The following is a 13,074-nucleotide window of genomic DNA, read 5'->3' on the forward strand; positions in this document are numbered from 1 at the left end:
TCTGGATTGGGACCACTTTCAGGTAACAATATGGCTGGAGTGTATTAGACCATTCTGCACTGCTATAAAGAACTACCTGAGGCTGGGTGATTTATGAAGAAAGAAGGTTTAATTGACTCACAGTTTCACGGGTTGTACAGGAAGCATAGTTGGGGAGGCCTCAGGAAACTTATAATCATGGTAGAAGGGTACAGGGGAAGCAGGCACATCTTACATGCTTGGAGCAGGATGGAGAGAGAGTGAAGGGGGAGGTGGATATACCTTTAAACAACCAGATCTTGTGAGAACATACTCACTATCATGAGAACAGCAAAGGGAAAATCCACCTCCAGGATCCAATCACCTTGCACCCGGTCCCTCCCCCAAAATCGGGATTACAATTCAACATGAAATTTAGTGGGGGGACACAAAGCTAAACCATGTCATGGAGATACCATTGTTTTTCCACTTTAGTCCAGATTCTCAGGAGCATCTTTATACACATGGCTAAGGGCTCAGCAACAGTTCACACTTAGCTAAAAATGGCTTAAGTTTCAGTGTGTTTTATTTCTCAAACTCAAGATTACTTTGAGGATCTCAACACATTATGGTTTTTGGCACCTCCAGTTAACTGCAATAAGCCTTAGATACACAACTTCCAATTAGGACATCCAAAAAATCCCAAATCTTAAGAAATTGATGGTACAATTGTGGCAGACAGACTTTGTGAAAACTCAAGTTCATGATAAAAAAATTCCAATCAAGTTTCTGAAACTTTTTTATTGGGAAACAGGAATATTAGCAAACTGCACTATTATTAAAAATAATAACTCAAGGGCACAGAATAAAATTAGCTTTCTGAATGAGAAATATTAAAAGCAAAAACGTCTAGGGGTGGAGACAGAGTTCCTGTAACAGAAATGAGAATGTCAGTGATAGAATAAACTGAGCTAGCTTGCTAAAGAATTCAAAGAAATAATGAGAGTGTGTAGGCAAGAAATCAGAGTCATCAGAAGAGCTGCAACTTACAAAGACCCCAAAAGCAAACTCAATTCATCAGGAGCAAGAGGAAAATAAATGAAACACGTTGCTCCTTCAATCCATAAGAAAAGAACGATAACAGCCCATAGTACAAAGACAAAGCCATTATTTTGTAACAGAGTCTTCACAAAGACTTTCCTCTGCAACTATGAGTCTGTGCAGGCTGCAAACGCACTGAAAGGGCAGGAAGCCAAACCAGAGTTGGGAAAGATTAGTCATAGATGTCACCCTTTGTAGACTCTGATGCTTCTCGCCTTGCCCTGGGAAGCCGTGAGCTGCCAGCTACAGAGACTTGGGGGACAAAGAACATGCATCTGAGGGCAAGGGTGACAGCAGATCTGTCCTACTGGTGGAGAGAGCTCCCAATCCAGACCCTAAGAGAGGGTTCTTGAATCTGCACAAGAAAGAATTTGAGGCAAGTCCATAGAACTACGTGAAAGCAAATTTATTAAGAAAGTAAAGGAATAAGAGAATGGCTACTCCATAGGCAGACCAGGCCCAAGGGCTGCTGGTTGCCCATTTTTATAGCTATTTCTCAATTATATGCTAAATAAGGGGTGGTTTATTCATGCCTCCCCTTTTAAGACCATATAGGGTAACTTCCTGACATTGCCATGGCATTCGTGAACTGTCATGGAGCTGGTGGGAGTGTAATAGTGAGGACAACCAGAGGTCACTCTCATTGCCATCTTGGTTTTGGTGGGATTTAACCAGCTTCTTGACTGCAATCTGTTTTATCAGCAAGGTCTTTATGACCTGTGTCTTGTGCCAAACTCCTGTCTCATCCTGTGACTTAGAATGCCTAACCGTCTGGGAATCCAGCCTAGCAGGTTTCAGCCTCATTTTATCCAGCCCCTATTCAAGATGGAGTTGCTCTGGTTCAAATGTCTCTGACATTTCCCCTCTCCCTTTTCTAAGAGAACCCTTAATCCTAAGGGTTGCGGAGGGATAAAGATCCATCTTCTGTAACTTCTTCAGGATGATTAGAGGTGATGATATTCCTGCCTATTAGGGTCTCTTATATTAGGCATAGAAAGGAGCTCTGTCAGGAGGCATCAGTATAGTAAGGGTGATTCATGACTCTTGAGTTCTGAGAAAAGGTGGTATCTGGAAGATTAATAAGTATTCAATTTAAGAAAACATTGAGTAAGCTTATCCTGCATTCCTACACGAAGAGTACAACAGTAATACATTCCACAGCAGTAAAGCAAAATAAGTACAATTATTTCAAGTAAACTAAACTAGAAGTCTTTCCATGAATTGGGAAACTGTTGGAACCAGGCTGATATGGGATTGTTAGCTGATTCTAATGCACCCAGAATTAGAATATTGATTTTATCCAGATGTTTTTTACATTACCCATCCCTCTTATTTCTTCTGAGCAGCAGTCAGAGATTGCTGGTTGGTTCACAGGAATGAGCCAGATCAGCCTAAGTTGAAGAAAAAACTCAAAAACAACCAATGAGACTAGAATCTAATAACAAGTGTACCATAGTTCTTGAAACATAATCTTTCTCTATCCAGTTTACCATTGTTACTAAGGACAAATCATGGTAAGACTGTTTTGCTTTATTACACTTGGCCTGATTATTTGTATAAAGTGCAGTAAGAATAATTATTTTTCACATAAGCTGTTTTTAAATTGGCTTTTGTGAAACTCTGTTCCATAGAAGGAATCTCAGATAAGACTTTTATAAAGCTGAGCCCTGCCATAGGTTTGTACCCTCAAATACCTATGAGTTGTGTCAATTCCTTTCCTTTTGAAATCCCAAGATAACTTGGGGCTCCTGGGCCTAAGATAAGTGCCATTCTTTACTTATCACACAGGTCAGGAATTCTGTACAGAGACTGCTGTAGACTAGGCATGAGGCCAGTTTCTTCAAGGGGCTTTTATTAGCTTTACAAATCAAGTTTGATTCCTTAAAGGAAAGAACACCATTACAGTCAAAGCGTTGGTAAAATTACCAGTTTCTCCAATTCTGTCCTATTGCAAAAGGGCTGATAAAGGCTGACTCTTGAGCCTAGCTAGGGAGCATGGCTCTCCATATGTCCCTAGGCCTTATTTAGAATCTAATGCTCTAAAGTAGGTAAATTGAACAATTTTCAAAACTTAAAGAAACAGTTTATTACCTTAAAGCATTTAGCAAGCCTAATATCTGACCTGAGTAATTTAGACCAAATGTTTAAATTTTGAAGACATTTTAATTTTACCAATAATTTTTAAAACTGTCATTTCTTGAAGAGTACTAAAGTCACATGAACTAAAAGCCATTAGACTTTTTACTTTTCTGACAAAATGCTTGATTTAAGCAGTCATTGTTTTTAAACCAATGAAAGCTTCTTTTTTATATCACAAACACACAACACACATAAATACATGACAGAAGAAGACCCAGTAGTTGTAAGATTTTTCATTTACCAGTTTCTTAATTGGATTACTGGCTTCAGGGTGGAGCCCAGAGCCAGGAAAGCATGCATTTTCTAGGGCTAATAAGCAGGGACAGCTGGAAGGCAAACAGATTCCCCCCCCCAGATTAAGGGTCCTGCTTTTATACCAGATCTTGGATCCCAAAAAGAAGGAATCAGCCCCTCCCCATGGAAGTCTTATCTCTCAGTGGCGGTGGTGGTGGGTGGGGGGGCGCATCTCCATACTTCCTAGGTGGCCAAGAGCATGTGTTTCTTATCCAAGCATGCACAGCTGAGTATTTCCCAATAACTGCCATTAGCCATCTCCAAAAGTATATTTCCTACCTAGTTATTACACACCAAATTCTCTCATAATGCAAAACAATTTCTGATACCTGCAAAAGTCAAAAACATCAGATACGGCAATGCAAAACAGAACAAAGCCTTAGATTTTGAGAGGAAACTAACTGCTTTTAATTCCTGGGGTTTCATGAGGAAAAAAAAGAGAATTTTCCCAAAACAGGGTCCGTGGCACTTCCTCTGTTTTTCTCCAGGAGTTCTAGGCTGTTAGTAATTATCTCAGGTTCTCTTATGTCGGCATTAACAGTGGCAAAAAGACAAAATGAAGAAAAACAGTTCAGTCGACTGAGGAGAAAAACTTTTTTCAGAAAGAACAAGATTCAAGAAGGGGAAAAAGATAAAGCCCTTTTAAATATATATAGTTTAGATATCCATATTTTAAATTAATTAAGCTGATTTTTAACCATAGCGCTCTTTTAAAAAGTCATGGTAAATTTCTTATTACCAGACTTTAGCCAGGCCAAACAGCCAATATTTCTGGCTCAGTGAAAGGAAAATACAGGACAGTTTTTGGAGGAGAAGAGAATAACAAATGGTAATGGTCATGCAGATATCAAACAAGAAAGAACTCATTCCCTAAGCAGGGAATTGACCCTGAAGTTGGGATGCCATTGTAATGGCAGAGACCAAGAGAAAGTACTGCCACGTATTTACAAGGTCAAGCTCCCAAGGACATAACTGACCAGTTTGCTGGGCTGTCTTGAACAGCGAGCTTGTGGAGTCCCAGGGCTGTGTTCTATCCTACGGTACCCTTCTTTATGACAGAACAATACAGAAAGACACACAAATCATGCCAGATTCACCACAGCTTAAGAGTAGCCTCACAAATCTTTTTTCCATTAATCAAAACTTTATGAAGGAGATAAACAGTGATTTTTACCATTCATTCAACTGGTTTGCACAGAGAGAGAGGCCAGAAGTCTGACTGGTAAGAAATTTTTACCCTTTTGCCAGCATGCCAGGCTTCTGGGTTCCCTTTCCCTAGTGAACAGCCCTAGTGACCTGTGGGCTGCACCACAGCCCTGGGGGCCAAGCCACATTATAAAGGAAAATTGTCTTTTTCTGTTCTGGCCGGAGAAAAATACATGTGACAAAGCAGACACTAGCTGCCCTGCTTAGCACCCAATGTCAAACTACTATGGCTCAAACTTGCTCCTGATTGGGCCCTGTCATCATTAATCCAACCTCTGACCAGCAGTTTCAACTTGCGGTCACAGGGCAAGATGATCACCCTGAATAATAAAAAATATAGGAAAGGAAAAAGAGAGAGAGAAATGCGTTGTCTGCAGCAGGGTGGGGGAGGCGAAGAGGTCAGGGAGGCCAGAGAAAGACCCATCTATTGCAGCAACACTGAAAAGTTCAGGTGGCCATTTGTCGGTCATAGGAGGGATCTTTTCCAGCAGTTCCATCAGCTCTCATGTTTCCCCTTTAGGGAGAAAAAAGCTCCCCATGTCCCTTCATCCTGTACATGCCTAATTCTGTCGCCCACAGCCATCAGCAAAGAATGTAAGGCAGATTAATTAAAAAAGAATAGGAATTAACATCCCATGGTGCCAAATCCATTCTTAGCCCAGAAGGACTTTACTAAATGGCTCCTCCAACCCCCTAAATCTTAGGAATGACTCTAACCTTCTTAAGTTGGGCCTTGAACCCAAGTTCAGTCGAGTTTCCTTGCCTTTTATTAAGAGGGGCCTTTAAGGCTGGGTGCGATGGCTTGCACTTGTAATAACAGCACTTTGGGAGGCCAAGGCAGGTGGATCACTTGAGGTCCAGGAGTTCAAAACCAGCCTGGCCAACATGGTGAAACCCCATCTCTATTAAAGATACAAAAATTAGCCAGGTGTGGTGGTGGGTGCCTGTAATCCCACAAGGCAGGTGGATCACTTGAGGTCCAGAAGTTCAAAACCAGCCTGGCCAACATGGTGAAATCCCATCTCTATTAAAAATACACAAATTAGCCAGGTGTGGTGGTGGGTGCCTGTAATCCCAGCTACTCAGGGCTGAGGCAGGAGAATCACTTGAACCCAGGAGGAGGAGGTTGCAGTGAGATCGCACGACTGCACTCCAGCCTGGGCGACAGAGTGAGACTCTGTCAAAAAAAAAAAAAAAAAAGGCGGGGGGTGTCTTTTACCCACTCTGTCTTAGGAGAGATTCTAACTCCCCTAAGTTGGCCTCTAACCCAATCCCATCCTTTACTCACATATATGCACACCACTTGCCCAAAGTCAGCCAATTGGTGTGTGTACAGATAATTTTCCTTCGGGTCGAGGGTCTCCTCAGTATCATACCTTTGGAGTTCACCAGAAAGATGTTACCGGACCCCACCACTTACCCCAAATTAGCCTTTGGGTTGGGGGCTTCCTCAGTATTGTCCCTTCCATGGTCACCAGAAAGATGTTACCAGAAATGGGTCCTGATCCAGACTCAAGAGAGGGATATTGGATCTCGGATCTCGCACAAGAAAGAATTTGAGGTGAGTCCATAGGCAAAAGTGAAAGCAAGTTTGTTAAGAAAGTAAAGTAATAAGAGAATGGCTACTCCGTAGACAGAGCAGCCCCAAAGGGTGCTGGTTGCCCATTTTTATGGTTATTTCTTGATGATATGCTAAACAAGGGGTGGATTATTAATGCCTCCCCTGTTTAGACCACATAAGGTAACTCCCTGATGTTGCCATGGCATTTGTAAACTGTCATGGCACTGGTGGGAGTGTAGCAGTGAGGACGACCAGCGGTCACTCTCATTGCCATCTTGGTTTTGGTGGGAATTAGCCACCTTCTTGACTGCAACCTGTTTTATCAGCAAAGTCTTTATGACCTTTATCTCGTGCCGACCTCCTATCTCATCCTGTGACTTAGAATGCCTAACCATCTGGGAATCCAGCCCAGCAGGTTTCAGCCTCATTTTATCCAGCCCATATTCAAGATGGAGTTGCTCTGGTTCAAATGCCTCTGACACTTCCACCCAGGAGTTTCAGAAGGTGAAGGGAGTTGGGAAACGCATCATTGTAGGCAGAATTGCAGAAGCTTCCACAGAATCTGAAAAGTTAGAGACAGAGGGATGGGGGTCCAAGTATAACAGAAATTTTTTTTGTGTTCCTGAGTCACAGGAGAACTGGTTGGTCAGAGATGGCTTTTAGGGCTGAATGAATGCTGCCGCTCTGAAATTGATCTTGCTATTGCCTGTTGCTTGGAACCTCCAGGGACCCAAGGGGCAGACTGGCCTTTTTCGGGGTTAGTGTGTCAGTGTGCTTTGTAAACTGTAAGGTCATACTCAAAACATATATCCCTCATTTTCAGGCGAGAGGGAAGTACCACTAAACCTTTAAGCCACTGATATATGTCTGGACTCCATCAAAGTGTCCTGCACCCTTCTTGGGGGCCTTAGGGTGGTGGTGTGGTTTGTCTCTTGAGCCCTAGTGTTCACTCTTCAATATCAGGGCCTGATTCTGAGTTTTCACAAGGATCTATCCATAAAAGGTCTTATTTAAAGAAAGAGAAAGTATAGCTTGAAGTTCCATGAACCTGAGAAATGGTAGGGTAAGTCATAATAAAATATGTGTGCATACGCACAGAAAAGTCTATAAGGACAGACACCAGGCTAGGAACTGCACTGACCATCAGAAGGATTCATGCCTGGTGTGGGGAAGAGTGACTTTTGATTTTTTACTCTATGTATGTCTTACAGTGTTAAATTTTTCCAACAGGAATGTATTCATGTGTTACTTATGCAATTAGAAAGAACAAGTAAAAGAAACTGATGCCTAACAGGATGGCTCTCAAACTGGAGTATGCACTGGCACCCCAGGACGGCTTGTTAAACGCAAGCTGCTAGGCCCCACCCCAGAATTTCTAACTCAGTAGCTCTGGGTGGAGCCTAATGCTAATGATCTGGTCAGAGACCACATAGTGTCTTAGAAAGGTGGAATTCTGAGCTTCAGGTTTCACTGGAGGAGCCAGGATTTGAGCCCAGACTACATCACATTAGACCTAACTCTTGACCTCAACCATTTGCTGACCAGGGCTACTTCTGTGTGATGGAATTAAGGGGAATTTGGTTTTTGATCATTTTCTTAAAATATATTTTTAATGTATTTATTGGATTTTTAAATATAACATCAACTCATCCTGAAAGTCCTACAAGTATGCTTTCTGTAGTTTTTCAAAGTTGTTAAGTATTTATTGCTTTGGTACTTTTTGTTAATTATGTCATGAGCCTTTTTTTTTTGGTCTCAATGCAGTGTATCCCCAAGATGACAACTCTGGTGTGAATCTGAACAGGACGCCAGGATGTGGGGATGCCCTCTCACTCCACACCATACAGGGCTGGCGAGGATATATCCTTTCTTTAACAAACGGCAGCATCCTAAAATACAAATAGGTTTCACCAACCCAAGGAAATCAAGAAGGAAATACATGTATATCATGATGGAGAGAATTTTTTTTTCCCATTTAAAAATCGACTGAAGGTTCCGGATGATGTTGGCAGTCTGCATGCACACAGCAGCCTCTCCCTCCACCCACATCCCCAGGAGTACAGAAGAGTTGTAAAGAATAAGCAAATCCCTAAAACAGAAGAAGTGGCATGTTGGTGGACCAACTATATTAAGGCATCCCTGAAAAAGGGAAAGCCAATCAGGATAGGACTGAATAGGAAATTCACAAACACCATGCATACATCAGAGGACTGACGCATTAGCACAGAGAGCACTAAGAGACCGAAAGTAAAAGTTGCCAAGAGAATGCCTTGTATAGATGGACTTCATTCTGCTTCCTGAACCAATTATTTCCAAGGGGAAAATGATTACAATGATTCGCTTAAAGTAATCAAGACCACCCCTAGAGACAGTGCACAACTCCAAAAACATACTACTGCTACACAATGGGAAATGGACCTTGAGGAATCAACCACAGTGAACACTAAACAGCACAAATGGACAAAACGATAAGATGAGTAAAAGAAAATGTAAGAGATATGAAGATAGATTCGGCTGTTCCGGTGTCCATCAAATACAAAGTACAGAAGTAAGAATACACAGGAGGAGTAATAGGACAAACTTTCCCAGAACTGAAGACCCAAGTCCTCATTTGAAAAGTTGCACTAAATGCCTAACAAGATTTTTTTTAAATAAATGAAAATAATCTTCCATTCTTGGTGCAATGTTAGAACAACACTGATAAAGAGAACATTCTAAAGTCCTCGGGAATAGGGGATTAGTATTAGATAAAGTAAGAAAGAACGAGACAACAATGTGAATGTACTTAATGCCACTGAACTTACATTTAATATGGTTAAACTGTTAAGTTTTATATGTATACTTTACCACAGTTTTAAAATATATATTACTTTTTTTAAAAAGAATGAGCACATGGACAACAAACTTCTCATCAGCAACTTTAAACATGAAACACAATAAAGCAACATCCTCAAAATTCTGAGGGAAAATGAATTTTGAACTTGGACTTCAGCATGCAGCTACAATATACTGCAAGGATGAGGGGAAAGTAGTGAACATTTTCAGATTCAAAAAGGTGACCTTGGGAGGCTGAGGCGAGCGGATCACAAGTTCAGGAGTTCAAGACCAGCCTGGTCAACATGGTGAAACCCCCGTTTCTACTAAAAATACAAAAATTAGCTGGGGGTCGTGGTGGGTGCCTGTAGTCTCAGCTACTTGGTGGGCTGAGGCAGGAGACTCTCTGGAACCTGGGAGGCGGAGGTTGCAGTAAGCTGAGATCGCGCCACTGCACTCCAGCCTGGGTGACGGAGCGAGACTTTGTCTCCAAAAACAAAACAAAACAAAACAAAAAAAAACCTGACCACCCAGAAACACTCCCTGAAAGAATTAACTGAGGCTGTACTCAAGCAAGAATTAACATAAATCCAAGAAAAAGAAATGGAAAGCAAGAAGCAATGTTGAATAATCAATGAAATTAATTAGGTCTAAATAAGTGCTGTGGTTGTGTTTTAATATAGGAATAGACTGGAAGTAAAATCCCATGTTAACCTAGAAGGTGGGGTGAACATGGGAGAGGGAGAATGGCAATGAGGGGAAGGGAAAGGAGGCAGAGGCCCTCATCTCCTTTGGGCTGGAGTCCTGCCTACCTTCAGATGTCAGAACTAGTGCCAGAAAAATACTAGTTTAAACGTGTGCATTAAAACTTAAGGTCATTTGTAGTGGCAAAAATACACATGAATGGTAAAGTGAAATATACACTATCAAGTGTGGTTGAGGATGTGGAGTAATAGGAACTCTCATTCACTGCTAGCACGGGTATAAATTTGGGTAAACACTTTGGAAACCATTTTCCGAATGTTTGGCATTTTCTTCCAAAGCTGAACATGTGCATGTCCTATGACCCAGCAGCTCCACTCCAAGAGAAATTAACCCGTATGTCCACCAAAACAAATGTATAAAAATATTCATAGCAGCATTATTCATAATAGCCTCAAACTGGAAAAGAAGCAAATATCCATCAACAGCGTAATGAATGAACAAATTGTGATATGTTCATGAAATATAATATCGCATAGAAATGAGAATAGAAGAGCCTCAACTGCATGCAACAGCCTTTCTGTAACTGGCAAAATAAAAAAAAAATTAAAAAAAAAAAGCCCTTCAACCCTCACCATTCATTCAGTAAATGTTGACCAAGCCTCACTCTGTGCCACACTCATCTTGGTGCTGGGTAGGGCACCAGTGAACAAAATTAGTGAGGTTCTACATTCACTGATAATTCACTTTGCTCAGGAAAGTAGGTAATAAACATGAATAAATAACCAGCCTGGCTTCACCCACCTTCTGCCCTTCTTGTGCCAACTCCCCACCCATCCTCCTGCCAAACTGAATTTTCAGCAACATTGTGCCCCTTCCATTTCTGCATATGCGATTCCTCCTTCCTGGAATCCCTTTTTTCCTTCCCTCCCTCCCTCTCCGCTTCCCCTTCTCCACTTCTCAGATCTCTTCAATCCTTAATGATCTGTATCAAATATCATGTGGCCAAGAAAGCCCTCCTCACTCCTCGAGTAAAAACCTTTCTGATCTTGAAATAGAACGCTCTGTGTCCTGTTAACATTGACTTCTTTGCCAGTTTGCACGATGCCTTTTTCCCCTTTTATTACACCAAAAAGGTAGGCACCGAGAATATAAGGAAATCATGCTGCTGAAACTCAAAACAAAGGAAATCTAAAGCTTTAAGGCTCTCTGGTGTTGACATTCCCTTCCTCCCTGATGATAGCCTGACACCCCAGCTCACCTCCGAAATGTTGAGTCGGTGTCAGCCTTGCCCCATCACCCAGACACCCAGCACAGGCTCCAGAACCCAGGTGTATATTTTGTCACTCACATGGGCAGGCTGTGCCTTCGCTCCTCTGCCTATGACTAAGGCCTCACATGTAATGGGTACAAAATAAATGTTGTTGAATGTATTCACTAAGGGCTAATGAAGTTAAAGACGCTCTTGATAAACCCCTAGTGAGTAGGACTGGAAAGCTGATAGTACTTCATTTGATAATGCAGGAATCTCATGAATCATAATTTCTTCATTAACTTTTTATTTCACTTATTAGCACCAATTTGTATTGGTTTGCAATTTGTAATGAACTTGAACATTGTCTGATTGCGTTTCTGTGAAATCAGTCTGGAATTTCGATATTTCGCGATTAAATAGGCCTTCCCCTCAGCTATATGAATTCAGGTGGATGTTTGAGAACTTGGACATTGTAGTTCAAGAACAATGAGGGTTAAAAAAATGGAATCTGATCTTAGCAAAGAAAGAAAGGAGTAAAAAGTGCATTCTATTTATAACCTCCTGTGACTCTGTAATTATTTCAAAAGACATTGTTGAAAAAACTGCACAGATTTTGGGGGAGAAAAGAAGACTATATAGCACCATTGCTATAAATTTCAACTTTTTCTCTCAGTTTACCTGGGTACCCATTGTTTCCTGTCTAGAGCAATACGCTGAAAAGGATACAGGTAACTTTCAACTGGGGCTCAGATGTATTTCCTAATAGATCAATAAGTTGACATTTTCCAAACTGAATCACAGGTTATATAAGATGAATGGATATTCTATAAGTTAATGACCTAATCTCTAAGTGTAAATATTACCTGGTAGTACACTTTTAAGCTGAATTTACCACAATTACACCATTCAACATTGATTAACTGTTTCTATGTGCCAAGCACTCACATAGAAGAAGAAAAAGTCACTGACTCCAAATTTCACTCTATCTTTTGTTCTTTAAAAAGCCTGAGACTACAGATTTATGAAAGGCATACGTCACTTTCCCTGGGCTGGCATATGACAAAGCCCTATAAAACTTGCATGTATTTCTGCGTTCTGCTTTTTAGTAAGAAAAGAATAGAAGTTGGAGTCATACAGCCCTCAGTTAAAGGCCCACTTCATGGAATGTTATGTGTGAACATTCAGCAAATTACTTGAGCTTGTGGAGTCTCTGTTTACTCGCCTGAAGAATGGAATATGGTGAGAATTACATGAGAGGGCATGGATTTTGGACAAGTGGCATCGCTGTGTGCATAATCAAAGCAAGTTAGACATGCTGCATTCTAAACAATGACTAGTCTCCACCGCACACTGGTGTGGTAAGGATTTTCAATTCGCTTTTCCTAAAATTTGCACCAATTTACACATCCACTCATAGTGCACTAGGGCTCCTTCTCCTCCCTCTGCCAGCTCTGCAGGATGTGACTACAAGGTGGCTTCTTTTCATTTTGTTACTTCTCTGAATATTATAATTTTTACAATGAACTTCATTGTAAAATAAAGCATTATAAAATGCTTCAGAAATTACATTTTATTTAAATTTTAATGTCCCATCCTTTTCACTTAATCTAGGGAAATAATCAAAAATGCATGAAGAAGAGGCATGATCAATCTCTCTGCACCCCTCTTCCTAAGACCTTTTCACACTAGGATCCTGTCGTCTAAAGTCTTTTTTCCTCCCCTCTTCATCTGGATAACTGCTACCTACCTTTAGATCCTAGAACTCTAATGAAGTCAAATTCCCACATACCTCTGGTTCATTTTATTTAATATAGCTGTACTTTTTACAAGTATTTTATATTGAGGTATAATTCACATGCCATAAATATTCACCTTTTAAGAGTGTACAATTCAGTGATTTTGAGTATACAGTAGATCCCCCTTATTTGTAGTTTCACTTTCTGTGGTTTCAGTTCCCCACAATCAACTGGGGTCCAAAAATATTAATGGAAAATTACAGAAATAAACAATTAATAAGTCTTCCGTTGCACACTCTTCTGATCAG

At 40.9% G+C, this 13,074-nt stretch overlaps 1 protein-coding gene across 1 annotated transcript in view; it reads right to left on the reverse strand.

Annotated features, from left to right (window-relative positions):
• Positions 1 to 13,074, reverse strand: part of SHC3 (SHC adaptor protein 3) — a 173,048-nt gene that overhangs the window by 131,023 nt on the left and 28,951 nt on the right. The window lies entirely within an intron of this gene.

Source organism: Homo sapiens, chromosome 9, assembly GCF_000001405.40.
Source record: "Homo sapiens chromosome 9, GRCh38.p14 Primary Assembly".
Classification (NCBI taxonomy): domain Eukaryota; kingdom Metazoa; phylum Chordata; class Mammalia; order Primates; family Hominidae; genus Homo; species Homo sapiens.